At 38.6% G+C, this 26401-nt stretch overlaps 1 protein-coding gene across 2 annotated transcripts in view; it reads left to right on the top strand.

The window, feature by feature from the left end:
* The window catches only part of PLCXD3 (phosphatidylinositol specific phospholipase C X domain containing 3), a 203650-nt gene that overhangs the window by 129097 nt on the left and 48152 nt on the right, over positions 1-26401 (top strand). The gene's annotated exons all lie outside the window — the stretch shown is intronic.

Raw genomic sequence — 26401 nt, 5'->3', positions numbered from 1 at the left:
TCTCTGTCTCCTTTTTCTCATGCCATTTTCTCATGTGTCTCTGTGTTTTCCTTTGCTTATAAGGATACCAGTCATATTGAATTAGGGCCTGCTCTAATAACCTCATCTCAATTACCTCTGCAAGGAACCAATTTCCAAATAATGTCACACTCACATGTAGCAGGGGTTAGGACTTTAACGTGTATTTTTGTGGACCACAGATCAACCCATAACACCATGTATTTTGACTCCATGTCTAGTTGTCTTTTCATAGCACCCTTTTTCACATTTGTGTAGTGCTTTATAGATTGCAATATCCTTTCTCTACCATTTGCAGAGTCTTTTAATATCCCTAATTCCATTTGAAATGCATAACAACACTGAGAAGTAGATATTGTCTTACAGATTTAAAAAATGAGGTTCAAAAAAGTGATATATTTTTCTTAAGACCCCTTCAACAGTGAATGATAACACAGATACTCAAACTCTATTCTTAAACTATATCCTATGCCTTTTATACTACATACGCAGCCTTATAAGGAATGGTTACCCTGAGAAAGTGGTCACTTCATTGGTCAAGCCCAGCCAAACATGTAGGATGTTCATTACCTGTGAGGTATAATTTGAGCAATCACAGTTTTTCCTGCGAGTGTGACACAACATACTGAATTGTACATATTATTTATTCTTTTGAGTTAAAATATTAAACAATGCAAACATCATCTGAAGAAAGAACACAAATCCTTATCAGATCTCTTATTTTTATCTTTCACTGACATTTCGAATTATGCTAAAGAGACACAGCATGAATGTTTTGCTTGGACCCAAGGTCTTTGTGGAAAAAGACAAAAGATGAAGAGAAAAGATTAGGCAGTGAAAATAGTATGTGTGACCTTGTGGCATAGCATATAGGATGGGGAATGAAAGGAGATAAAGCTTGGAGTGGTGTAAGAATACATTTTCCAGAAATCTTTTAACCAGGCTACAGAGAACCTCATCCTGTGAGCAATGGGGAGCTAGATAATAAACTTTAAAAGTAGCATGACTTGACATGATCTGTGTTTTATGTAATAATTGACGCAGCCTGGAGGATTGATGGAATGGAGAGAGCGAGCAGTTAATAGGTGCTTAGAACTGTTTCAGCAAGGTAATGCAAGCTACACTGGGGAAGCGAAAAAACACAGAAGGGGATAATACGCAAGCAATGAAAATTAAAATGATTCAGTGACTAGTTGGCTATGTGATATGAATGGGAGAAAAGAGTTCAGGATAAGCAGGACAGGTAATGGAAGCATTCACAGAGTCAGGAAACAAAGACACAGGGACTTGGGAGGAAGTGGGGAAGGTACCATCAGGGTCATGCTGAATTTAAAGCATGAGTAAGGCATTCAGGTAGATGTGGCTAATTGATCATTACAAATATAGGCCAACTCATTTGGGGGTTGTTGGCATTTCTCGATGGTGAAAACTCCAAGTCATTGGAGTGGAAATGTTCCTCCACATAAAATCATAACTTTCTTCTGTTACTCAGAATGGTCCATTAGCCGGGACTGCTCTGTTCCTTAAAATTTAAATAACATTACCAACCATTCATTGTATACTCTATGAAAGTGCATGACTTTCTCTATGATTTCTGCTAATGTCTACATTTCTTATATTTGTATGGTAGGTCCCTTTCTACTACTGGATTATATCATTTTATGGCTTAATTATCCCACGCAGTCTGTCCATGTCCCATTCTGAGACATGAAACTTGCTTCATGTTCATTTCCACAATGTTTTTTAGATTTTACTGAAGATCTGAAGAGGCCAGGAATGGCTTATAATCACAATAATGTACATAATTTAAAACCAAATTTTAGACTTGTCTTTAATTACAAATCTTCTGCCCTAGGATAACAGCCCCTGACAACATCTATAACACTGTACACCTCAGCCTCATATCCTCTGACTGAATCTTCTCCTTTACCATTTTTCACTTCTTTTCTTTCATTACCCTTCAATTGCCTTTGAGACCCAACGTTCTAGATGATTGTGTAACTAGATTAACATTTCTAGATGATTTTGCCTAACTAGTCACCTCTCTCCAGCTTCCTAAGCCTAAATTCAGCTAGTTCCAACAAATTATTCATCAAAACAAGAGGGCTTTTTGCTTTATAGCACCATTTTCTACAAACGTTATTTTTTCTGGTAATTAACAATTTACCCCCTTTCTCACAAACTTAGAAAGTGAGGGAGTTGTGTACATATAAAAATGTGTTATTTTTAACTGTATCCCACAGAGTCCCCAGATTTTGAAGAATCTCTGATGGGTCACTAGAGGTGGGGAAAAGGCAGCAGGAGCCTGGCAGGGAACTGACTCCAACTCCCTCTATTCTCTCCACACCTTGAATGAAAGAAGCTTCATTTTTAACTTTTACATTTTGGGCATGATGCAAGTCTTCCTATGACCTCTTCCAGCTTCCAGCATAGTTCTATGCTTAGCAAAACACTTGCTTGTATTAAATGCTTGCTTTGCATTTTAGCCAAGAACTTTACCCTCATTTTACCTGTGTAGAGATCATCCTTTGAAGAAGCCAAGAAGAAGAATTTACTCAAGGATAAATGATTTTCATTTTTTTCCTCTTATGGCATTTGATGTAATTTAGAAGTTTTCAAGTCATAGTTAAACTGCTTTTTGGTTACTCATGCTCTAGTACCCTACTACTAAAGTAGGATTTGTGGGTAAAAAAATCAAATCAGTTAGGAAAGTGCTGAACATTATATTCTACACAACTCTCCCAAAGGATTCACAGTGTACTTTAGCATGTAAAATGCCTAAGGAATATTTTAGTGATGAATCCTATTTAAATTTAACTAATACAATGTTTTCCAAGCACTTAAATTTTGTTCAGATAACACTTATTAACAGCACATGGAATTAATTTTTAAAAACTGCTCTCAGCCCTTTAATTCAGAACTTCCTACTTGCCTCTAGCTTATGTATCTGGAATAGTAGAGTTGTATCATTGACAAGAAAAAGGAGAAGAAAAAGAAATTTTAAAAGTAGGAATGAAGACTCCATATAGAGAACTAATTCTTTCCTCTATAGGATTATGAAAATTACTTACAAATAATTTGCCAGTATATCTGAACCTTGTCATTATAGATGTGCTGGCACTCTCCAGTGGAGTTTAGCCTCAGAAGTACTAGAAAGACTTCCTTTTTAACCATTTGCAAAGCTGTATTCTGAATGTTATATTAATGTGAAGCTCAGTTTTTTGTTTTGGTTTGGTTTGGTTATTGGACATACTCCAGCCTTCTGCATGGAGCCTATAGGAAAAGCTTATTGTCAGCTCTGGGGTCATGCCTTGCAAAAGCAATTTATTAATACTTATCACTTATTCAGTGAAGGAGCACTTGACTCCCCAGAACTTGTTGGCTTTCTCTTCTTACCAAGTGATGAAGCCTATGAAGTGAACTGATTCTGACATTGTCCTCGCTTTTGTGCAAAAGCCATTCATTCATAAAGTCCTGTGATGGCACCAAAAGGTGTAGTAAGTTCTTCTGTGCCATGAAAGGAAAGTTACCAGGCAATTATAAGACTGCTCTGGGCCTTACATATTTTCATCTGCACAGTTTGGAGTTTGAGCTAGATTACCTCCAAGATCCATTTGAGTTGTAAATCCTACAGTTCCAAGATCCTCCATTTGACTAGCTAGTTTCTCTACAATTTTTAAAATCATGCCTAATATTTGGATTAACAAAACTCTGAGCACATGCATTTAGAAAACAGCGTTTGAAGTTGTGGGTGGCTTTCAGGGAAACTAAATCTAGCCTGGATTTAGGTACCGTAGCTTTCGATCTGGCCAATGGTTCTAAATACTGCAGATTCGTTTTCTACATTGTAGCAATGCCAAAAGACACAGATTTTTATTTCTTAAAGACCTATTTTTAATTTCTTTTTCAAACACCAGTTTTTGCACCTCACCCCCATGCAATTCACACATTCTTAAAAAGAAGGTGTGCAACTTGAGTAAAGTCCTTTCCTAATTTGCGGAAGTTTATTAACTTACAGGTTTTTCTTAATTTAAAAAATGCAGTCATACTACCTATCAGAATTTTTAAGCAGCAATGCATCTTTGCAAGTAAAGTGATGCTGAGTTAAATTAGACCATATTTGTACAGGCCAACAGTTTAGGTAATGATTAATATAACAATAATAATAATAATAACTGTTATTATTAGGGGTTCACTATCTGTTAGATCCTTTACTGTGTTATATTCATGATTAGGTTCAATATTTATAAAACCTCCAAGTGGAGGTACTATTGCCATCCTATCTTAACAATAAAGGGACTGAGCCTTAGAAGTGTTAAGCAACCTAGCTGGATAGCACAGTTAAGAAAAGGTGGATTCAGAATTTAAATCCAAACTCTATCTATCCGTTTATTCACAAAAGCAAACATTTAAATGCCTAATCTGTTCTAGACACTGTAGTTCAAGTGACTGATCTCAGATATGGAGTCTTATAACCATTACATCATGCTATCTCCCTGCTATTTGTGAGACTCCAAAGAAGTGACTGCAACTTTGTTTTCATCTTATTAAATGACAATATCTAGATCAAATTTGGCAGTACATTCAGGTAGACCGAGTTCAATTTAATCCTTATCTGTTAAACAGCTCCTATGAGTACGGCTCTGCATTAAGTGCTGTGAGGCATATTAAAATTGGTATTTGCCATTGTTCCCATCAAGCATCAAGTGGGTTTGAAAAGACAAGAACATGCAATACCTAAATACAAATTGGAGAGAAACAGGAGAATTAAAGATCAAGGTCTATGGTAACTTAGAGGAGAGAGATATCTGGAAAGATTTTGGCTGGCTTTGACAAAAAGCACTGGGATAGGCAGAGATGGATAGGGGTAGCTTCTCAGGATGAGGAAATAGCAAGAGCAAAGCATGGAGGTAGGAAATCTTGAGGACAAGAGAAATCAGGGTTGGTTACAGAAACAGAGTGATGTGCAAAGGAACATGGGGGATGAGTCGAGGAAAAAGTGAAGGGGGAAATTATGGTTAGCTGAATTAGGCATATATTAGGAAGATATTGAGGAGGGCAAATCAGAACTGGACTTCAGAGGATGAAACCCACCTAATTATGTAGGTTGAGTAAGGAAGGAAGAGACTGAAGAAGAAGCCACCAGTTTAAAGGGGGAAACAGAGTGGCATGCCAGCAAGTGTTTAGAAAGAAAGAGATAAAAATTGCTGACATGGTTTGACTTCAGCCCTACTGACAGTGCTGCCCCCTTGGAATACCATTTACAGTATCATTTTATATGGATGACATCCCTTGGAGTTGGATGATGGGCAGCCCTGGCCACTTAGTCTCATCATCACAGTGATCATCTTGAGTGTAAGGTAGAATTTTCAGGATGTGGTTGTGAGTATACACTAATATTACCCAGCTGGGCAAAGGAAGACAACTGTAGTTGTTGAGCCCACATTATGTGCCAGGCACTGTGCTAAGAGCGCTACATGATTTGTGTCCATTTAAGGCCTTGCATCCTTACAAATTAGGTATTATTAAATCCATTAGAGGTGGAAATTGAGGCTGAGAGATGTCTAATACCTTACTTTAAAATCCCATATTAAAGTCATTCCTTAATTAATAAGCTAGGATTATTACATGGGTTTGTTTGACTCTAAGTCCCATGCTTATTGTTGCAGATTAGGTAAAATTAATATTGCTTAGCACTGGCTGCATTTAATACATTCTCTGTCATCTTGGAAGGCAGAGTCAGGTCTAGGGGTTTAGGAAAGTAAATTATGCTGGTGACAGAGTGGGCAAAGCTAAGAGAAGAGAAGGTTTGAAGTGTGTGGCTTTGCCTCAAGAAAGCAAACCCTGGTAGGATGTTAGCATGGAACCCCCTAAGGAAGCATTGACATAGAACATGAAGGGAGTTAGAGATGACTGGGCTTAATCCTTCTTGCCTTGTGCCTATTGCTCATTTCACCATTTTTTATTAAATAAGGAAGTTGAGGCCAAGAGGAATGCTAATTGATTGCCCAAGGACATAGAGCTGACTGGAAGCAGAGAAAGGATTAAAATTCAGGACTCCTGGCTCCCAGTCAAAAGAAGAGACACCCCAGAGAGGGATAAGGCCAGAGGATAAACAGAAAACCTAGGGGTGAAGGGGGCAGAGCATACCAGGCTGCACATACTAACATGGAAGGGCTTTCAGTCTGCACTGCACTCAACACTGCATGGTGCCCTGGGGCCTTGCCTGGATAGGATAGCGGGTAAAGCCAAAGGTCTAGGCCACAGATTTTGTGCTGGGCCTACTTTCTCTGGGCTCTCTCTCTCTTTCTCTTTCTCTCTCTCTTTCTTCCTCTCTTTATCTCTCTCTGCATCATGAACCCAACGGACTCTTTTTTTTCTCTCCAATGGGGACACACTCCAGCTCACAACCCTCCTACTGCCCAATTTGCCGTTTCCTTGCCTGTACCCGGAAGGGATGGGTCTAGTCTCTTGGAAGTTTTTCAGCTGCAGTGCCAGTCATTTTAGCAGTTTGGAGAGCCAGGAAAAGCCTCACTTAGAGGTTGAGACTCAGAATGGTTCAAAGTCAGCTGTTCAAATGGCTTAAAGTCAGACACAAGACAGTACCCATCTCCATAAAGAGAAGCTTTCCAGCCCCACCCTTCCACCCTAGGCCATGTCCCAAGACAGGTCAGCACAGCAGCAGAGCAGAGCAGCTGACAATGGATATTTGGAATATTCTATTCAACAGAGAGGGAAAGCGATCTCCTCAAGCTACATATCCCTGAGGAGAAAGAACAACAAGGAGACTATGGAAAGCCAGTGTTCCAATAATCATTATTTACAAAAAGCTTTCACCATAAGATTCATTTCTTCGATCTGTCTCTCTCTCTCTGTCACTCCCTGTCTCTATAGATATGTATGCATACAGATACATATATGTACGTGTGTCTGTGTATGTCTGTTTGTATGTATTGTACGTGGCTTCATTCGTACAAGTGTTATTCCTAATTTGCAATTTAAGAAACTGAAGGTCAGAATGGCTAAATAATTTATTCGGATGATGTTATAAGCCAGTGCCGGGACCAATTCAGAATCTTTTTGAAACACTAGAAAGGGGATTCTGGCTTGTAAATCAAAAGGAAGCTCCAGAAAGCAACCCTTTCCCAGCCTAGGACTTGGCAAACTGGAATGCTCTTATGGAAATTTTGTTAAAATGTAAGTTCCTGGATGCCACTTTCAGAGATTCTGATTTAATAGTCTGTGGCTCAAAGTGTTTCATTCTTAACAGACTCAAGTGAGCCCCACTTCAAGTAGCACTGCTCATACTCACAAACAAGCTGCACCTTAATCATCCCTACTGACAAAATAACCTGGTTTTAGTTAACCTAAAGAACATAAACCCCAATATTTATTGGTGCCCTCCTCCCTAGGCTCAGTTAGTTCTTCCTTAAATCTAAGCTACAGCTCCTCTACCCACAGGGCCTGCCAGATTCAAGTTCATATTTGCTTGCTGTATCACTCAGGTAGAACTACCTATCAATGATTTCCAAAAAGTAGCACTCAGCTTTTGGCATCTTCTGTCTTGTGTTACTTAGTTTGACCCTAGGATTATTGCACTAATAAGCATAAACAATTTCTCACCTTTGGTGAGAAATTATTTGTTACCCTGGGCTAAAAAGCACATTCTCATGTAAGAAGACTTAATAATTTCTAGACTCAGTGTCTCCCACCAAAGCCAATTAACATTATGGCACTGCATCCCAACTTCCTCCCCAGTGCTAATTTCAAACAAGATGAGAAAGCAGAAGAAGAAGAAGAAGAGGAAAAGGGGGAGGAGGAGTTTCAACTGAAGAATTATGAGGTTCATAAATTCAGAGAGGAGAGAGCTTTATTTCTTACAAAGGATTGCGGCCTGCGGGCTGGCCGTTCCATGGGCTGGGAAATGTAGCCTCCAGTAGAAACTGAGAAAGGCACTTTAAGGAAAGGAATGGTGAGACAAAAATTTAGGCTGAATGGGTTAGCTAAGTATACATATTCAACAGTTTACAGAAGAATCTATGAATATTCACAAAATGGGACGTTTGCATTTATAAATAAGTAAACATGCACATTTCATAAGTCCCATGTTCACTTCTGGGTGGAGACTTAACATTTAAATGCATTAAAATTAGGTCCTATGTGTCAAAAAGTGAAACAGAAGACACAGAGACATGTTATGTGTAGCCTCTGTAAACTGACCAGAACCAGTCTACGATTTGCTGTCTCTGTTGAGGAAGAAATGCTGGTCAGTTGTGTTGAAACCACAAAAAAGTGGGGAAGTTGGATGGATTGATTTCCATTTAACTCTTGGGAAAGAAAGTCTTTTAGTGGCAGTTAGTGAAGAAGGGGGTATAACGAGGCATGTCCAATCTCACATCCCATCATGGCCAAAAACTCATTTGTTTTTGTTTTTTTGTTTTGTTTTGTTTTGAGACAGCCTGTCACCCAGGCTGGAGTACAGTGGCATGATCTTGGCTCACTGCAACCTCCGCCTCCCAGGTTCAATTGATTCTTCCACCTCAGCCTCCCAAGTAGCTGAGATTACAGGTGTATGCCACCATGCCTGGCTGATTTTTGTATTTTTTGTAGAGAAGGAGTTTCACCATGTTAGCCAGGCTGGTCTCAATTTTCTGACCTCAAGTGATCCTCCTGCCTCAGCCTCCCAAAATGCTGTGATTACAGGTATGAGCCACCATGCATGGCCAAGAACTCAGTTTTTAAGGTTTCTCTGGGGTCCTTTTGGTCAAGAAGGGGGTACACTCAGTTGGTGGCGGGGCTCAAGATTTAATTTTTATTTCTCAGAAGGAAGAAGATTCTGTACCAGCTTACAGTTGTGAGACTGTATGACAGAGGAGGGAGTTCATCCTATGTCCTCCGGGGTATGGCAAGAGGAAGCGTTGTCTGTAATTCTCCATTTTAACAACTTTTGACCCCAAAACTTTTGAAATAAGAGTGCACATAAAAACTCTCTTTCTCCTTCATTCTGCTGATGTTGTAAGATTAAAGAAGATTAAAATACATTTAAATACAGGCAAGCAATTTTCACAGTTTTAGAGAGGTTAAAGACTAAAGAAGTTTCCAAGTTGTTGAGAAGTCAGATATCTATTCAGTGCCTGGTGTGTGTGTGTGTGTGTGTGTGTGTGTGTGTGTGTGTGTGTGTGTGTGTGAGAGAGAGAGAGAGAGAGAGAATGAATACATATACTTTTCTGAAAAACTGTGGCATAGGATGGAGACTCTCCCACTCTAGTAAACCTCTCTGGATCTCAGTTTTCTTCTATGGAATTGCTGGGCAGATTGAATTTAATTTCTAAAAGAAACTAGCTTAAAATATAACTAGTATGTATAGCTAGCACTCACAAAAAAAAGTTGAAAGGAGGTAGGTCGATGGGGGTAGAGAGAATAAGGATGGAGTATCTAGGCAGCAGGGATATTTACTCAGTCAAGTAGTGACACAATAATTTGTGTAGTTTAGTCAGCAACTGAGGGAAAAGGGAGATTCGTTTGGAATTTCAAATGAACCATATCATGAGATATCAGTAGATGAATGAGTAAAAGGTGTCTGATTCAAGAAGTAAAATGGACCAGATGTGGAAATCTCAGTTCACATTCCAAGGTCATGAGAAGGAGGCCTGCAGGCCAGATCTTCCCTTCTGCTCTATGCAGGCAGGGCTCCTGAGTGGGGCACAAGTCCATTCAGCTGAAAAGCTCCAAGAGAAGAGACATAAATATTTTGTGATTGTCCTTTAGCCAAAGATCCCCAGGCACAAACATGTAGTTGAACGTGCAGGATTTATTATCTGTTGCAGCAAGGGAGAACATACCATGGGGTTCATACATGAGACATCCCAGTAAGAGGATGCTAGAAGGGACTTACAAGATTGGGCTTAGGTTGGGTGACTTGAGGAAGGGTCTAAGGAAGCAGGGGTTTGCTGTAGATCAGATGCTGTCAGAAAGCAAGGACAAGTCTATATTTGGATATTTCAACAAGCCTAATCCATAGGGCTAGAGCAAAGTCAAACTGTAATTGGTAAAGGAGTCTCAGTCACTCATTTTAGTCAAGAGAGGTGGTGACCTTATCTGAAGTCGGTATTGTGGGAGATTGCTTATGTCCAACAGGAGAATAACATGGCCTGGTTGTGAGTGTCTGGTGAGCTCTCAGTTGTCAGGGGCTGCTTTTTCTTTCCCCGTTTTTCAATAAAATGTCAAAAGAGGAATATCACTTATTGCCATTTGGCTTAAAAGCCTCTAGTATAAATTAGTCTGTCCATGTGCTTTTTCTTTGTTCTTTTTCTCATTAAAACAGTCGAGGCTGTTTCTATGCAAAAGCCCAGACCATTTTGATAATGAGGCAAATCAAAGAGTTGATAATATCCTAGCTGAGGGATTGGCTACTGAAAATGCAAACTCTTCAAATTAGGCTATATTTTCAGTCAACTTGACTTTCTTTCTCTGTGATCTTAAATTTCTCCCTCTACCCTTGGAAAACTGTTGAAATTTCCCAGATGATGGAGAGAAGGGGTCCAGGGCAGGAAAAAAATAGAAGAACATAGTTCTTTGTAAAGGGAATTGCTGATTTTTTAAGATTTGAGAACATTCCATTTGTCTTCCCGAGGTTTCACAATTCATTCAGGGCACAAGGAAGCAGGAGATGGGATGCAGACTGTCACATTTTCAACAAATTGGTTTGTTGTCCTCTTTCACAGAGGGAGGCATATTTTTTCTTGGGCTTGTTTGCATGGGTGCCCCTGAGGGCTTGCGATCCAGATGTTTGTGTTGAGTGTACTTGATAGACACAGTTTTCAGAGACTGACCTACTGATAAACAAGGGTGACTCTGACAAGTATAAATGGCTAGTCGAGTGAGGTGATATAAGCCAAATCCTCTCCCCCAAAAAAGATAAAAGGGCAAGGAGTTGCTGTAAGCGTGTCCTACCTAACCAAATTTAATAGAAATATTAAATAACTAACTAACATCACTCTAGGCAATGAGATATCAGCTTTTAACTTACCACATTTGGTTGATAAAATGATGTTTTCTATAATATTTTCAGTGTAACAACAGCAATAAAAAAGTTAAAACTATAAAATTTTCTCAGAATACCTGACCTTGGAGGATTTTACAGAAAATACTGCATGCATCAATTGCAGGCACTAATATTTGGCTTTGTTGATTACAGCACAGATCTTCTGGCTCTTGCTCTGTATGTCTGGGATTGTAGCCTATTGCTAATTAACTTATTTTAAAGTATTAACAATAATTAGACAAGAATGGCTAGAGACTTGATTGTCATAATTCATTTTTTTGCAGAAATCACAATTGTATCTTGAACTTTTCCTTTAAAATATTCTTTCCTTCCACCCCCTCATCACTTATTTCCCTGTAGCCTCAGCTGTTAAGAGCAAAAAAGCTTACAAGTTGTTTCTGGGGCTGTGACATCCTATCTGGAGGAAGCGGTATGTGGCAGTGAGACTGTAATGTGTGATTTCATTAGTGAATGCTAAAAGCACAGACTGCCCTTTGGAAATGGATGTGATATGTGGCCAATATAAAACAGACCAAATTCACTGTGTTGTCTGCTACTTGTCTGAATACCGAACAGAAAAGTTGTTGCCTATATAATTTAGCTCAGGTTCAAAAATTAACCAGTCAAAAAATAAATAAGATAACTCTATCAAAAGCTATTAGTTGGCTGGTCATGGTGGCTCACACTTGTAATCCCAGCACTTTGGGAGGCCGAGCTGGGTGAATCACTTGAGGTCAGGAGTTTGAGACCAGCATGGCCAACATGGTGAAACCCCTGTCTACGAAACTAAAAAAATTAGCTGGACATGGTGGTGGCCACCTGTAATCCCACCTACTCAAGAGGCTGAGGCAGCAGAATCACTTGAACCCAGGAGGCCGGGGTTGCAGTGGACCCTGATGGAGCCTCTGTACTCCAGCCTGGGTGACAGAGCAAGACCCTGTCTAAGAAAAAACAACCAACCAAAAAAAGACAATGAAAAACAAAAGCTATTAATTAATGGGCATATTTCAGTTTTTGTGGTTCATTTTCAAGAGTTTAATTCAGGTTGCCTGTTTTTCAAAATAAAGCTAGCTTATAATGAATAGATTGTAGGAAAATTTGATCAAGTGTGTAGTTTAGTTTCACTAAATTCAATCTGTTAACAGACAGCATATGTTGATTGAGAAGAGTCATGATGGACTATTGTTAAGTATCCTGAAAACTTAGTTTTTTCTTGTCTCACTTTCACATTGGCTGGTTAGGGGTTACGTGGTTATTTAATAAATTTGACTCTACTGCCGTTCACAAGCAGAGCAAGTGCCACAGACATTTCTACATGGTCTTCCATGACATAAGGAGAATTCCACACCCTTGCAGCACACACAACTTATTGCCACTGTATACATATACTTCAACACATCACTCATGTGTCCACAGACCAACAAGACCCCAAACACAATATGGCTGAGAACTCTTACAAGTAATAAAGATGGAGAGGCTTTTCAATATCGTAAACCATGAGCAACGACATTTCCATGTCTCCTGATGCGGGTTGTTTATAGAAAGGCTGTTTCAATGGTCCACCATTTTCTACTCCAGTTAGCAAAGGGTGGTCAGCTGTAGATTGAAAATGTTTATGTGAAAAAGAACTAAAGACAAAAAGCACATGATTATCTCAATAGCTGCAGAAAAGGCTTTTGATAAAATTCAACATCCCTTCATGATAAAAGCTCTCAATAAATTAGGTATTGAAGGAATCTACCTCAAAATAATAAGAGCCATATAGGACAAATCCACAGCCAACATCATACTGAATGGGCAAAAGCTGGAAGCATTTGCCTTGAAATCCAGCACAAGACAAGGATGCCCTCTCTCACCACTCCTATTCAACATAGTATTTGAAAGTTCTGGCCAGAGCAACCAGGCAAGAGAAAGAAATAAAGCGTATACGAATAGGAAGAGAGAAAGTCAAACTATCTTTGTTTGTGGATGGCATAATCCTATATCTAGAAAGCCCCATTGTCTCAGCCCAAAAGCTTCTTAAGCTGACAAGCAACTTCACCAGAGTCTCAGGATACAAAATTAATGTGCAAAAATTGCTAGCATTCCTATAAACCAACAACAGGCAAGTAGCTCATAGTGAATTTGGCTCTATGCCAAATTATGAATGAACCAAATATAGAGCCAAATTATGACTGAACCAAATATAGAACCAAATTATGAATGAACTACCATTCATAATTGCCATAAAAAGAATAAAATACCTAGGAATACAGCTAACAAGATAAGTGAAGGACCTCTTCAAGGAGAACTAAAAACCACTGCTCAAAGAAATCAATGATGACACAAACAAATGGAAAAACATTCCATGCTCATGGATATAAAGAATCAAAATTGTGAAAATGGCCATACTGCCCAAAGCAATTTATAGATTCAAAGTTATTCCCATTCCCAAAAACAGACACATAGAAAAATGGAACAGAATAGAGAACCCAGAAATAAGACTGCACACCTACAACCATCTGATTTTTGACAAACCTGACAAAAATGAGCAATGAGAAAAGGATTCCCTATTTAATAAATGGTGCTGGGAGAACTGGCTAGCTCTATACAGAAAATTGAAACTACACCCCTTCTTTACGCCATATACAAAAATCAACTAAAGATGGATTAAAGACTTAAATGTAAAACCCAAAACTATAAAAACCCTAAAAGAAAACCTAAGCAATACCATTCAGGATATAGGCACAGCAAAGATTTCATGATGAAGATGCAAAAATCAGTTGCAACAGAAGCCAAAATTGACAAATAGGATCTAATTAAACTAAAGAGCTTCTGCACAGCAAAAGAAACTATCAGCAGAGTAAACAGGCAACCTCTAGAATGGGAGAAAAGTTTTGCAATCTATCCTTCTGACAAAGGTCTAATATCCAGTATCTACAAGGAACTTAAACAAATTTACAAGAAAAAAACAACCCCATTAAAAAGCTGGCAAAGGACATGATGAACAGACACTTCTCAAAAGAAGACGTTATTATGGCCAACAAACATTTGAAAAAAAAGCTCAACATCACTGATCATTAGATAAATGCAAATCAAAACCACAATGAGATACCATCTCATGCCAGTCAGAATGGCGATTATTACAAAGTCAAGAAACAATAGACACGGGCGAGGCTGTGGAGAAATAGGAACACCTTTACACTGTTGGTGGGAATGTAAATTAGTTCAACCATTGTGGAAGACAATGTGTCAATTCTTCAAAGACCTAAAACCAGAAATACCATTTGACCCAGCAATCTCATTACTGGGTACATACCCAAAAGAATATAAATCATTCTATTATAAAGATCCATGCATGTGTATGTTCATTGCAGCACTACTCACAATAGCAAAGACATGGAATCAACCCAAATGCCCATCAATGATAGACTAAGTTTTAAAAATGTGGTATATATGCATCATAGAATACTATGTGGTCATAAAAAGGAGGAGATCATGTCTTTTGCAGGGACATGGATAAAACTGGGAGCCATTATCCTCAGCAAATAAACGCATGGACAGAAAAGCAAACACTGCATGTTCTCACTTATAAGTGGGAGAGGAAAAATGAGAACACATGGACACAGGGAGAGGAATGACACACACTGGGGCACGGGAGAGTGCATCAGGATAAATAGCTAATGCTTGCTGGGCTTAATACCTAGTGATGGATTGATCTGTGCATCAAACCACCATGCACACATTTACCTATGTAACAAATCTGCACATCCTCCACATGGAGCCCTGAACTTAAAAGTTCGGAATCAAAAGAAAAAGAATATGTTGATGTGTGCTTGGGCATATATGTGTTTGTGCATGTGTGTGTGGATGCATGTTGTGTGTTGAAATAGTTTGAAAATAAGTATTAACATAGTCTTCTCTTTACACCTGTAAGCATACATTGCTTTCTTCCTGCTTATTAAGGAAAGAAGAGTTTCACATGCAGTGTGATCTTATCTCCCAATTGAAGATATAAATGATGGTCTCCTGAAAGTGCTCAGATACCCCATGTGGTACTTTTTCACCTAAGTTCATGATTGTCCTAGGAGACATGCATTTACATTCTTTTAGCTTGCTCTGAACCTCATGTTTTCCTTTAGTGCTTTTCTTGAAGGATTTCTTTGGCATTGTAGTTTCAAAAGTTGTATTTTGTTTCCAACATTGTGTGGCTTATCTCTGTGATATTTGGGGGGCTTTTGTATAGCTATGACTCTTCTTAAAAATTGAGGTGGGGCGCATGTTCTCACTCAGGTGGGAATTGAACAATGAGAATACTTGGACACAGGGTGGGGAACATCACACACCAGGGCCTGTCGTGGGGCTGGGAGAGTGGGGAGGGATAGCATTAGGAGATATGCCTAATATAAATGACGAGTTAACGGGTGCAGCACACCAACATGGCACATGTATACATATGTAACAAACCTGCACGTTGTGCACAAGTACCCTAGAACTTAAAGTATAATAAAATAAATAAATAAATAAATAAATAAATAAATAAATAAATAAATGGTGACCTATTGAGAACAAGGACAAAGAATAGCTTCAAAACTCTATTTTACAAAAAGGGTTCCGCTTGAGATATTTCAAGTGAGTAGATGTAACTTAGGAAAAGTGAATGAAACATTAAAATGAAGCAGATACAATACTAAAAAAAATTGAGGTGGGGAAGAAAGTAATATAATCCGCTTGATACTAGGATGGTATTTATGGTATGACTTTAGAGAATCCTAATTTCTTTGAAGTAGACCAAAATAGTGTTTCCCAGTGTCCCAGCACTCTTCAGGTTACCCAGGGATAGAAACAAGAATCCATCCATTTATTGAGTTGGCCAGTCACTTAGGCAACAAGAACATAGAATGTGCTGTGGGCTTAGAGTGGGGACTGGAGAGGCAGTCCTTCAGTTACAGGACAATCTCCTTGGAGTGTGAGATTTTTATAAAAGGCAAACCTAGAGAATGGCATGAGACATTGCTTGCAACTGTGTACTAAAATTATCTGTAGTTGACATATGCCATAGGGATTCCAAGGAAAGAAAGATGGCAAAAGTGACTTCTTCAGCATCTTAGGACAGAAATATTCTGACCTTTTCTGAACTTTACCTTTCATTGCGACATGGCAATTTATGCCCATATATCAGGTGCACGTCTATTTTCTCTACTCAAATATGATATTCTCTTGTGATTGTCTAAATCACTGACCACCAAAAAACGGTAAAAAAGAAAAATTTCTATGGTGAAAAATTGTGCTTGGATTTGAAAACATTTCCACACAATAAGATATTAGACTAGGCTAACAAGTGAGAGTTCCCTGGAGGCTTGAAAGATCCAGCCACAGATTTACAACACTTTGTGTGCCTATTGGTGTTAGGAGCAGATGTACATAAGAGAGAAAAGTGAAAGCATTATGTGAAAGGTCTGTATTTTGACAATAAAATTTAGCAAGTTCCCTGAGAAAATTTGCTAAATGCATGTTACGTATTTTATTTTTAAAATTCAAGGTGGAAAAATATGCTTTGAGATTTGACATTCTGTCCTGCACAGTTTACATGCCAAGATACATTCCTTGATTATCAAAAGTACACATCAAATGAAGTAGATTCCCTCCCTTATTGAAGTAACCTGACAAAAAAGGGAGCCACTGCTGGGACTTCTGAAAGACAGCTGAGGAGCAACCTTCTAACAAGTGTGGTTGGCCTTTGCACTGCTTTTTCTCTTTTCCTTCTCAATTTTGTAATGAGAAAGGACAATTTTATAGCAACTTGGCAAAATGATAGTGCAGGAAGTCCCAGATGTTCTTGCCCCAGCTGTCTCTGAGATCTAATAATATAGAGTGGGAATAGCACATCTCCCTAAAGAGCACACACATTTTAAGTTGCTTTAATTTTCTTGCCAATTAGGCTTTTAAGATGCCAAACCCATCTCCAGGCAACCTTTGTGACAATTTCGTATCCTTTGGTGAAGGAATCTAAGGCAAATAGGATTTTCTGCTGGCAAAATAGCATGGAAAAAAATTTTACTCTTTGATTACCAAAGAAAAATACATGCACTCACTTTTGCTTATGGAAACATGAGGACACAGGGGTCTTAACACTGATTGTAGTGAAGGATCCTGAAGAGACTGAGGGTGAGAATTCTTATCCTTGAACAGGGTTTCTCAGCCTCGGCAATATAGACATTTTAAGCAAGGTAATTCGTTGCGGGAAGCTGTCTTGTGCATAGTAGGATGTTTGGCAGCATCCATGGCCTCTACCCACTGGATTCCAGTAGCACCTTCCCCTGAGTTATGACTGAAAAAAATGTCTCCAGTTATTGCCAAATGCCCTCCCCCCATGCCCACCCCTGGAGGAGGATACAGAGTTGACCCTGGCTGGAAACTGGTGGACTAGAGCTGCCACTGCACAAAAAATCTTGTGACAGTCATTTACTTTTGCAGATGCTCTATTTCTTTACACATTAAACAGATGATACCAACTGTCCAGGGATTAGAGAAGCATAAAATACTTAGAAATATGGCATGTTTTTCATTTAAACAAATATGACAAAGCTTACACATTTTTAGTGTCTACTGACACCTGCATATTAGTCACCTTGGGAATTTACTCATTTATCCAAGTGATACTGAAGCAATTTTAAGAATAATTTTAGTCAGGGATAAGTCCTTCTCCTTTCAGGATAAATTGCTTTTTGAAACAAGCTAGGCTCATTCAAGTTTAGCAGATAAGGTAAGTGAGCAAAGCTAATGAAGGCTCTTTGGAGTCAAAATCTAGGTGAAACAATAATGAGATGGATTTTTCTTTCCTCATGAACAGATACTAAAGTCAATTTCAATAAAGGAGTCTTAAAAAGATTCGGAGTCATTCTGTCATTGATGGGATAAGTGAACAGTCATCTCCATGGGTAATAATTCTGAATGACAGCTCATCTTCAGCTTATAAGTATTGGGATGTCAGTTAAAAAAAATTCCACTACTTTAGAGTCATCTGTCATAGAATAAGATAAGAGAAAATATCCTGAATTCTTGGAGAAAGTCTTTTTAAAAAAATATATTATTATCTGTATTACTTGGATCAAGCAGTAGATATTTACAGAACATTTACTGAGTGTATGCTAGTGACTGTACTTTAAAATGATTAGGACATAGCCCCTTATCCTCAACATGGTTACCCTGCAGTGGGAGAGACAAATTAATAAACGGTTTATTTCCACATCATGTGGTAACTTCTAAGATAAGTCAAAATCAGTTATTTACCTGGTTTTTCAACCCAGCGCTGCCATGTACCGACTAACTCTGTAAGCCAGGAGAAGTCATTTAATTTCATCTGCTTTCAGTTTCCTTATCTGAAAAGGCAGTTGTCCCCTCTTCTAGCATCATTATGCTGATTCTGTGGTAACAATGACAGTTTCTATGGACATATGTACTATAATATGTTGTAAAAAAAAATCTGATCATATGATGTCTAAATACTAAACACTAGTTTCATTTGAATTATTACCGAAACAGGAAGAGATGCCAAAGTAGACATTCATGAACACTAACTGTTGAGAGAGATTCGACTTGTTACTGGTAGTTGATTATTAAAGAATGACCCTAAACCAAGTGAATTGCCCTTATTTCTTCTTCCTGGACTACGCAGCACTATAATAAACTACATGGTTGGTTGATCAGGAGTTGCTGTATCCCAGTAAAATAGCAAGCAGTAAAAAGCGAAATAAAATGTCTACATTTAAAACTTAACTCATAAATCTTTTGTAATTTAAATTATTGTGTTATTTTAAACAACAGGAGTGACATCCACAAACCTAAGGTGAAGTTTGTTTAACTTTCAAGGTGTCGGTTTCTGATTTTAACATTCTCAATTGTAAAATGAAGAGATTGGAATTAGAACTAATATTTTTTGCATGACTATAATAGACATATTATTTATGTTCTTATTTCAGTCCTCCTAACAACTAAATGATGCAGATATTTTTATTTCTATTTTACCTATGGAAGAAATGAGCCTTAGCCAAATAAACCAACTCACCTAGCCTTGCACAGCATCTGTGGCAGAGCTAGGATTCAAACATGTGTCAGTCTGATTTCAAAGTCTCTGTTGCTTTTTTTCACCCCCTACACATCACTCCATTTTTTGAGTTGTCTCTGATGAAGATCTGAAATTATATAATTCTTTTCACAGTGACTCAAAAAAGTAATATGAAAGTATCACACATTTTCTAACTACAAAATGAAAAAGAAGAAAATGTTTGTCTACTTCCAAATTCAGGGACAAACAAAAGTCCTGTCAGATGAGTAGCTTTTTACACGTAAAAATGGCTTCCAAAGAGTGTCACTGATTCTTGCCCAGAATATTTCTAAATCCCCAAAGCTTCAGGGATAGAGCAAAAACCAATCCAAATTTCAGGTTATCTCTCTTGGTCAATGTACTAACTGACAGGCTAACATGAAAGTAAGCGTGGTGGTCTAGTTGGTGGCCTGCCCAAAGAGCCACTTTCTATATCTCTAGTTTTGTTTTTAACTCTCATCTGTGAGAGCTTTGATGATTCAAGAGTTTGTATATTAAAATTGTGATAATTAGTTCAATATTCAAGCAGTCAATGAAGTAAAATATTTATTGTAACTGTACTACTTCTGTATCATGTAGACTTTTTATTTTAATGTGGTAAATAAAACAATAGATTAACTGACAGCTCTGAGATGTGGCTTCTAGAAGAGTGTGACAAAGCAGGCTATCCATTCATTTATTCATCCTTTTATTTATCTTTTATTTGGAGAATGAGTGAGGTAGGTTTCTATTGTTCATTCCATTTGGCACTTTGTTCATGTTTTTTGTGGGGTTTAAGTAGCCCAAAGTGGATATTAGGGATTGAAAGATGGCAGATACAAGGCAAGGCTAGCTTGCAGCTCCTGCAGGGATGAATGGAGCAACATGTGGAGACTCACATCATGAACTTTTGCTTCAAGAACTACTGCAGGGACATTCCAGGAAAGCTGAGACAATCCACAGACTATATGAAGAAACTGGATCACTACTGCAGGCTCCCTGAGACACCAAAAAACTGCGGGTCTGCCTGCTTTCTCAGCAGGGAAGCTCATGGTATGGGGCAAATTCTCAGCCCTGGGCATTGGCTGCCTGGAAATAAACTCAGTGCTGCTGTGGGGGCACAGTGAGAGTGAGACTAGCCTTTAGGACTGCTGGCTGCATGGGAGTGGGGTGAGGCCTGTGACTGCCAGCTTTCCCCCACTTCCCTGGTGACCTGTATGACTCAGAAGAGGCAGCCGTAACCCCTGGGAACATAACCTCATTGGCCTGAGATCCACACCCCCATCCCCCACAGCAGCCACAGCAAGCCCCACCCATGGAGAGTCTGAGCTCAGACATATCTATCCCTGCCCCCACTTGGTAGTCTTTCTCTACCTGCCCTGGTAGCAGAAGACAAAAATCATAACCTCTTAGGAGCTCTATAGCCCTTCCCATGGCCTGAGAAACCTGAATACTTAACCAGGTATCCCCAAGGTGAGTTTGCAAACTCCTTATATTACCACAGCTGATGTGCTCATGAAAGCCCTACCTCCTGGCGGGAGGCCAACCAACACAAAACCAATGCATTAAACAAAAATACAACCCAGGACCCTCACAGAGTCCACTTCACTCCCCTGCTACCTCCACCAGAGCAGGTGCTGGTATCCATGGCTGAAAGACCTGAAGATGGATCACATCACAAGACTCTTTGCAGACACTCGCCAGTACCAGCTGGGAGCCTGGTAGCTCCACTGGGTGGCTAGACCCAGAAGAGGAAAAACAATCACTGCATTTTGGCTCTCAGGAAGCCCCATTCTTAGGGGAAGAGGAAGAACACCACATCAAGGGAGCACTCCGTGGGATAAAAGAATCTGAACAGCAGCCCTTGAGTCCCAAGTCTTCCCTCTGACATAGTCTTCCCAAATGAGAAGGAACCAGAAAAACAATTCTGGTAATATGACAAAACGAGGTTCTTTAACACCTCCAAAAGATCACACCAGCTCACCAACAATGGATCCAAACCAAGATGAAATCTCTTAATTGCCAGAAAAAATAATTCAGAAGGTTGATTATTAAGCTAATCAAGGAGGCACTAGAGAAAGGTGAAGTCCAACTTAAATCAAAAAATTTTTGATTCATCATATCCTGATACAGGATATGAAAGGAAAAATATTCAGTGAAATAGAAAGCATAAATAAAAAACAATCACAATTTCTGAAAATCAAGGACACACTTAGAGAAATGCAAAATGTACTAGAAAGTCTCAGCAATAGAATCAAACTAGCAGAAGAAAGAATTTCAGAGCTCGAAGACAAGGATTTCAAATTAACCCAGTCCATCAAACACAAATAAAAAAGAATTTTTTAAAAAAATGAACAAAGGCTCCGAGAAGTTTGTGACTGTGTTAAACATCCAAACCTAAGAATAATTGGTATTCCTGAGTAAGAAGAAAAATCTAAAAGTTTGGAAAACATATTTGAGGAAATAATTGAGGAAAACTTTCCCAGTTTTGCTAGAGATCTAGAAATCCAAATACAAGAAGCTCAAAGAACAACTGGGAAATTCATCACAAAGAGATTATCACCTAGGCACATAGTCATCAGGTTATTTAAAGTCATTGAACTGGAGAAACAAGAACCCAGCGTAAGAAAAGAAATAACCAAGATCAGAGCAGAACTAAATGAAATTGAAACAAAAAATACAAAAGATAAATAAAACAAAAAGCTGATTCTTTGAAAAGATAAATGAAATTGATAGACCATTGGCAAAATTAACCAAGAAAAGAAGAGAGAAAATCCAAATAAGTTCAATTAGAAATGAAATGGGAGATATTGCAACTGATACCACAGAAATACAAAAGATTATTTAAGGTTACTATGAACAAGGTGTACATAGTATGCACATCGACTAGAAAACCTAGAGGAGATGGATAAGCTCCCAGAAATATACAACCCTCCCAGATTAAACCAGGAAGATATAGAAACTCTGAACAGACCAATAACAAACAGCAAGGTTGAAATGGTAATGAAAAATTGCCAATAAAAAAAAGTCCAGGACCAGATACATTCACAGCTGAATTCTCTCAGACATTCAAAGAAAAATTGGTACCAATCCTATTGACACTACTCCAAAAGATAGAGAAAGAGGGAATCCTCCCTAAATCATTCTGTGAAACCAGTAACACCCTAATACCAAAACCAGGGAAGGACATAACAAAAAAAGAAAACTACATACCAAATCCCTGATGAACATAGATGCGGAAATCCTCAACAAAATACTAGCAAACCGAATCCAACAGCATATCAAAAAGATAATCTACCATGATCAAGTGGGTTTCATACCAGGATGCAGGGATGGTTTAACATATGCAAGTCAATAAATGTGATACGCCACATAAAAAGAATTAAAAAGAAAAAAATCACATGATCATCTCAATAGAGGCAGAAAAAGCATTTTACAAAATCCAGCATCCCTTATGATTGAAACCCTCAGCAAAAATGGCATACAAGGGATATACCTTAGTGTAATAAAAGCCATGTGTGACAAACCCATAGCCAACATAAGATTAAACAGGGAAAAGTTGAAAGCACTCCCCCTGAGAACTGGAACAAGACAAGGATGCCCATTCTCACCACTTCCATTCAGCGTAGTACTGAAAGTCCTAGCCAGAGCAATCAGACAAGAGAAAGAAATAAAGGACATCCAAATCAATAAAAAGGAAGTCAAACTGCCACTGGAATACTACTCAGCCATAAAAAGGAAAGAAATAATGGCATCCGTACCAGCCTGGATGGAATTGGAAATTATTATTCAAAGTGAAGTAACCCAGGAATGGAAAACCAAACATCATATGTTCTCACTTATAAGTGGGAGCTAAGCTATGAGGATGCAAAGGCATAAGAATGATACATTGGACTTTGAGGACTTGGGGGAAAGAGCGGGAGTGGGGGTGAGGAATAAAAGACTACATATTGGATGCAGGGTACACTGCTCAGGCGACGGGTGCACTAAAATCTCAGAAACTACGATAAAACTTATTCATGCAACCAAACACAACCTGTTCCCCAAAAACCTACTGAAATATAAAAGAAATAAAAAAAATAAGTAGCCCAAAGCATTCACTCTGGACACAGAGCTGGGCTTGTCCTGACTACCACTTGCCATTGTGTGATCTTAGGCAAGTTCCATAAACCCTCTGAACCTCAGTTCCTCCTCTGTAAAATTAAAATAAAATTCAACCTATCTCAAGACTACCGTGAAGCATAAAGTAACAATCATACAAGGTTTTTAGCTCTCTGTCTGGTACATAGCGAGTGATCAATAAATGTTAGCTTTCATTAACAATATATTTTTGTAAGGATATTCAATGGTGCTCTGCTAAATTAACAGAGTAAATAATCTTCTTTGAGAAGCTTATTCCCTAGGAATTGATTTTATCATTGAGAATAATTAGGTTTACTTTAAATAGAACCCTATTGTAATACAGATTATGATGATTCGGAGTTTTCAATAGATGTGGGCACATATAACAATTTTGTACACTAATTGTCAGATGCTATATGGCCATTGCAACAAATATCTTGGGGTTTTGTTTTTCTCTAACACTAATATTATAGCTTTTTATTATACATATCATTATTTTTATTTGGCTATAATTATTTTTAGAACTAAGCTTACATCTATTGTAGCGATTCTGTAATCAGAATTATCAGTGAGACATTACAATATAGACTTGCTCAAGCTTGTGTAAATTCTGCAGTGGGCCTGGATCCCAGTGTTATTTTAGTGTCACGTCAAGTTTGAGAAGCACTGGTTGACTGCCTGGTCAGCTCTTTGAAAATAGGGAGCACTATTCAATTCTGTAGCCCCTAAAATTGTTCTAAAGCTGTTAAGCATTTTCTGAGTAGTTTTGGAGGTCAGATATCATAGAATATAATAAAAGAGAAATTAAGTTGCATATTCCAAACAGAAACTGAGTCTTACATGATCTAAGAAGTGAGAACTAATATCCAACAAATTTATAATTGGCCAATGCCACCTTAAATTATGGCAATAACAATTTTTTAATTGATAACAACTTTTTAAAAATTCAATATACAGTATTTTTGACAGCTATATTGCTTTATACCAAGGTACAAATATAAGCCACAATTAACGAATAGTGTATATACCCACCCTTCAGGGAGCCATTGAAAGGTCAGGCTAGCTGGTTACTGTTGACAAGGCACTGTTCTGAGAAAGACATGTTTTGTTGCCATTAATCACATTTCTTTTATTTAAATACATCAAGTGACCCAGCAGATTCTGTTGCAAGTAAGCATATGCCCATCTCAGAGTTAGGTCAAGCGTGTCTGCTTACACATGGTTGTTATCATAAAACTGAATATGGTTCATTAAGTTGCATCTAGGATCTCTATCACCCTTGGTGACCATTTGGTGTGACCGGGATAATTGTGCAGCTAATTCTAGCAGCTAACAGTGGGCCCCTGGGATGTGTGAGTTCTTCACACCCCCATGGAGCCCTTCCTGTTTGCCCTGTAGCTTGTGATAACAACATGCAGCCCTCCAGGAGGGATGACCCAGTGAGACTTTCCTACTTCAGCCTCTCAGCAAAAAGATGAAAGGGAAAATACGTGTTTTATCTTTGGGGGGTCACTTCACCAGGAAGTTTTGTTAAGAGCTCATAGCATGTGTTTCAGTAAATATTAATGGCAAAAAGGTTTGTTCAGATATGATATTCTGTAACTTGAGTGATAGATAAACTGGATTAAAATAAGGGGCCGTTTTCATTTTTAAAAACAGGGATCCACATATTTTGGGAATTGTTGATATCCCCAATAATAAGAGGCTTAACATTTGCATTAATCAAGGAACAGTTAAAAGGAATAACCTAAAAGTCAATTAATAATAACAGCATCTGACAATTTATGATGCCTACACTCCTAGATCTCCACATATGAAATGATTTGCCCAGTGTCACCTTATTAATTTTTACCCAGAACCAAATTATCCTGTAACCATCCCCAGTTTTTTCTTCACCGATACAAAGCCAACTCTTGGTAACAGTTATCATTGTAGTTCATTTCTCAGGCACATGAACATGTTCATGGTTTTGTTTGTTTGTTTGTTTTTGAGACAGAGTTTCGCTCTTGTCTCCCAGGCTCGAGTGCAGTGGCGCAATCTCAGCTCACTGCAACCTCCGCCTCCTGGGTTCAAGCAATTATCTGGCCTCAGCCTCCCAAGTAGCTGGGAGTACAGGCGCCTGCCACCACGCCTGGCTAATTTTTTGCATTTTTAGTAGAAACAGGGTTTTGCCATGTTAGGCAGGCTGGTCTCGAACTCCTGACCTCAGGCGATCCACACACCTCAGCCTCCCAATGATCATGGGTTTTTTTTAGAGAAGTTATTGGGTAACAAAGATAAATGGCCTGGTGGTATAAAAAATCATTTCATATAAGTTAAAGTTTAAGCCAAAGGAGGCCATTTGATGCCCAAAGGAAAAAAATATATACTCATGGGAAACTCATCTTTGATGGTGGTGAGCAGAAGTTATTTTCTTCTTCTCCTAATATCATCTTCATCTGTCCCAAACTTTAGCCTGACCAGCACTCCCCTGTGCCCACTCTTCATGGAATCACAAGTATGTTACATGCAACCCACTCTCGTGACTAGGGCAGCATGCATGGATAGAAGACATCATTTGGTGAATGAAGGCAATGCAAAGATGTTCATTTCCTTTAAACATATAAAGTCTGTGTCAAAGCAGTTACAAAAAAATCCCTAAGCATAGTCTTCCAGCTCCCCTAGCTGATATTGAGGTCCTCTCCAGGAGTAGCAGGGAAAGGGCTTGGATGGAGCATAAGTGGACATTGACAACTGATGGCTGACTGAGTTCATGAAAAGGGTGTGGCTTCAGGTTGAAACAGGAGCATAGGGGTTGGATTATGATATTATGGTTCTTACTTCAGACAAGTACTTATTGCCTAGAAAGATAATTATGCAAGCTGCAGTGTTCTGGAATGCATTATCTCTATTCTAGTTGGAAAAGTGTTGTTCTAAACACTTTGTAGTTCTTTGTAGCTCTGTCCATTTTATGATCTCCAAAGACAGAAGAATCATTCACATTCCATAATCCATCAGATTAGGAGATATGTTATGTAAAACTCCACGGGTATTTTCTGTCTGTCATATAATCAAGAGACTACCTATTTCTACACTCTTGGTAGACTAAGGCCTGGTATCAGTCTAGTGTTAAGGAAGGAGCAGGATGGTGGCACAGTGAGGTTTGTCTTGGA

Source organism: Homo sapiens, chromosome 5, assembly GCF_000001405.40.
Source record: "Homo sapiens chromosome 5, GRCh38.p14 Primary Assembly".
NCBI lineage: Eukaryota > Metazoa > Chordata > Mammalia > Primates > Hominidae > Homo > Homo sapiens.
This window is presented reverse-complemented; position numbering and strand designations above follow the sequence as displayed.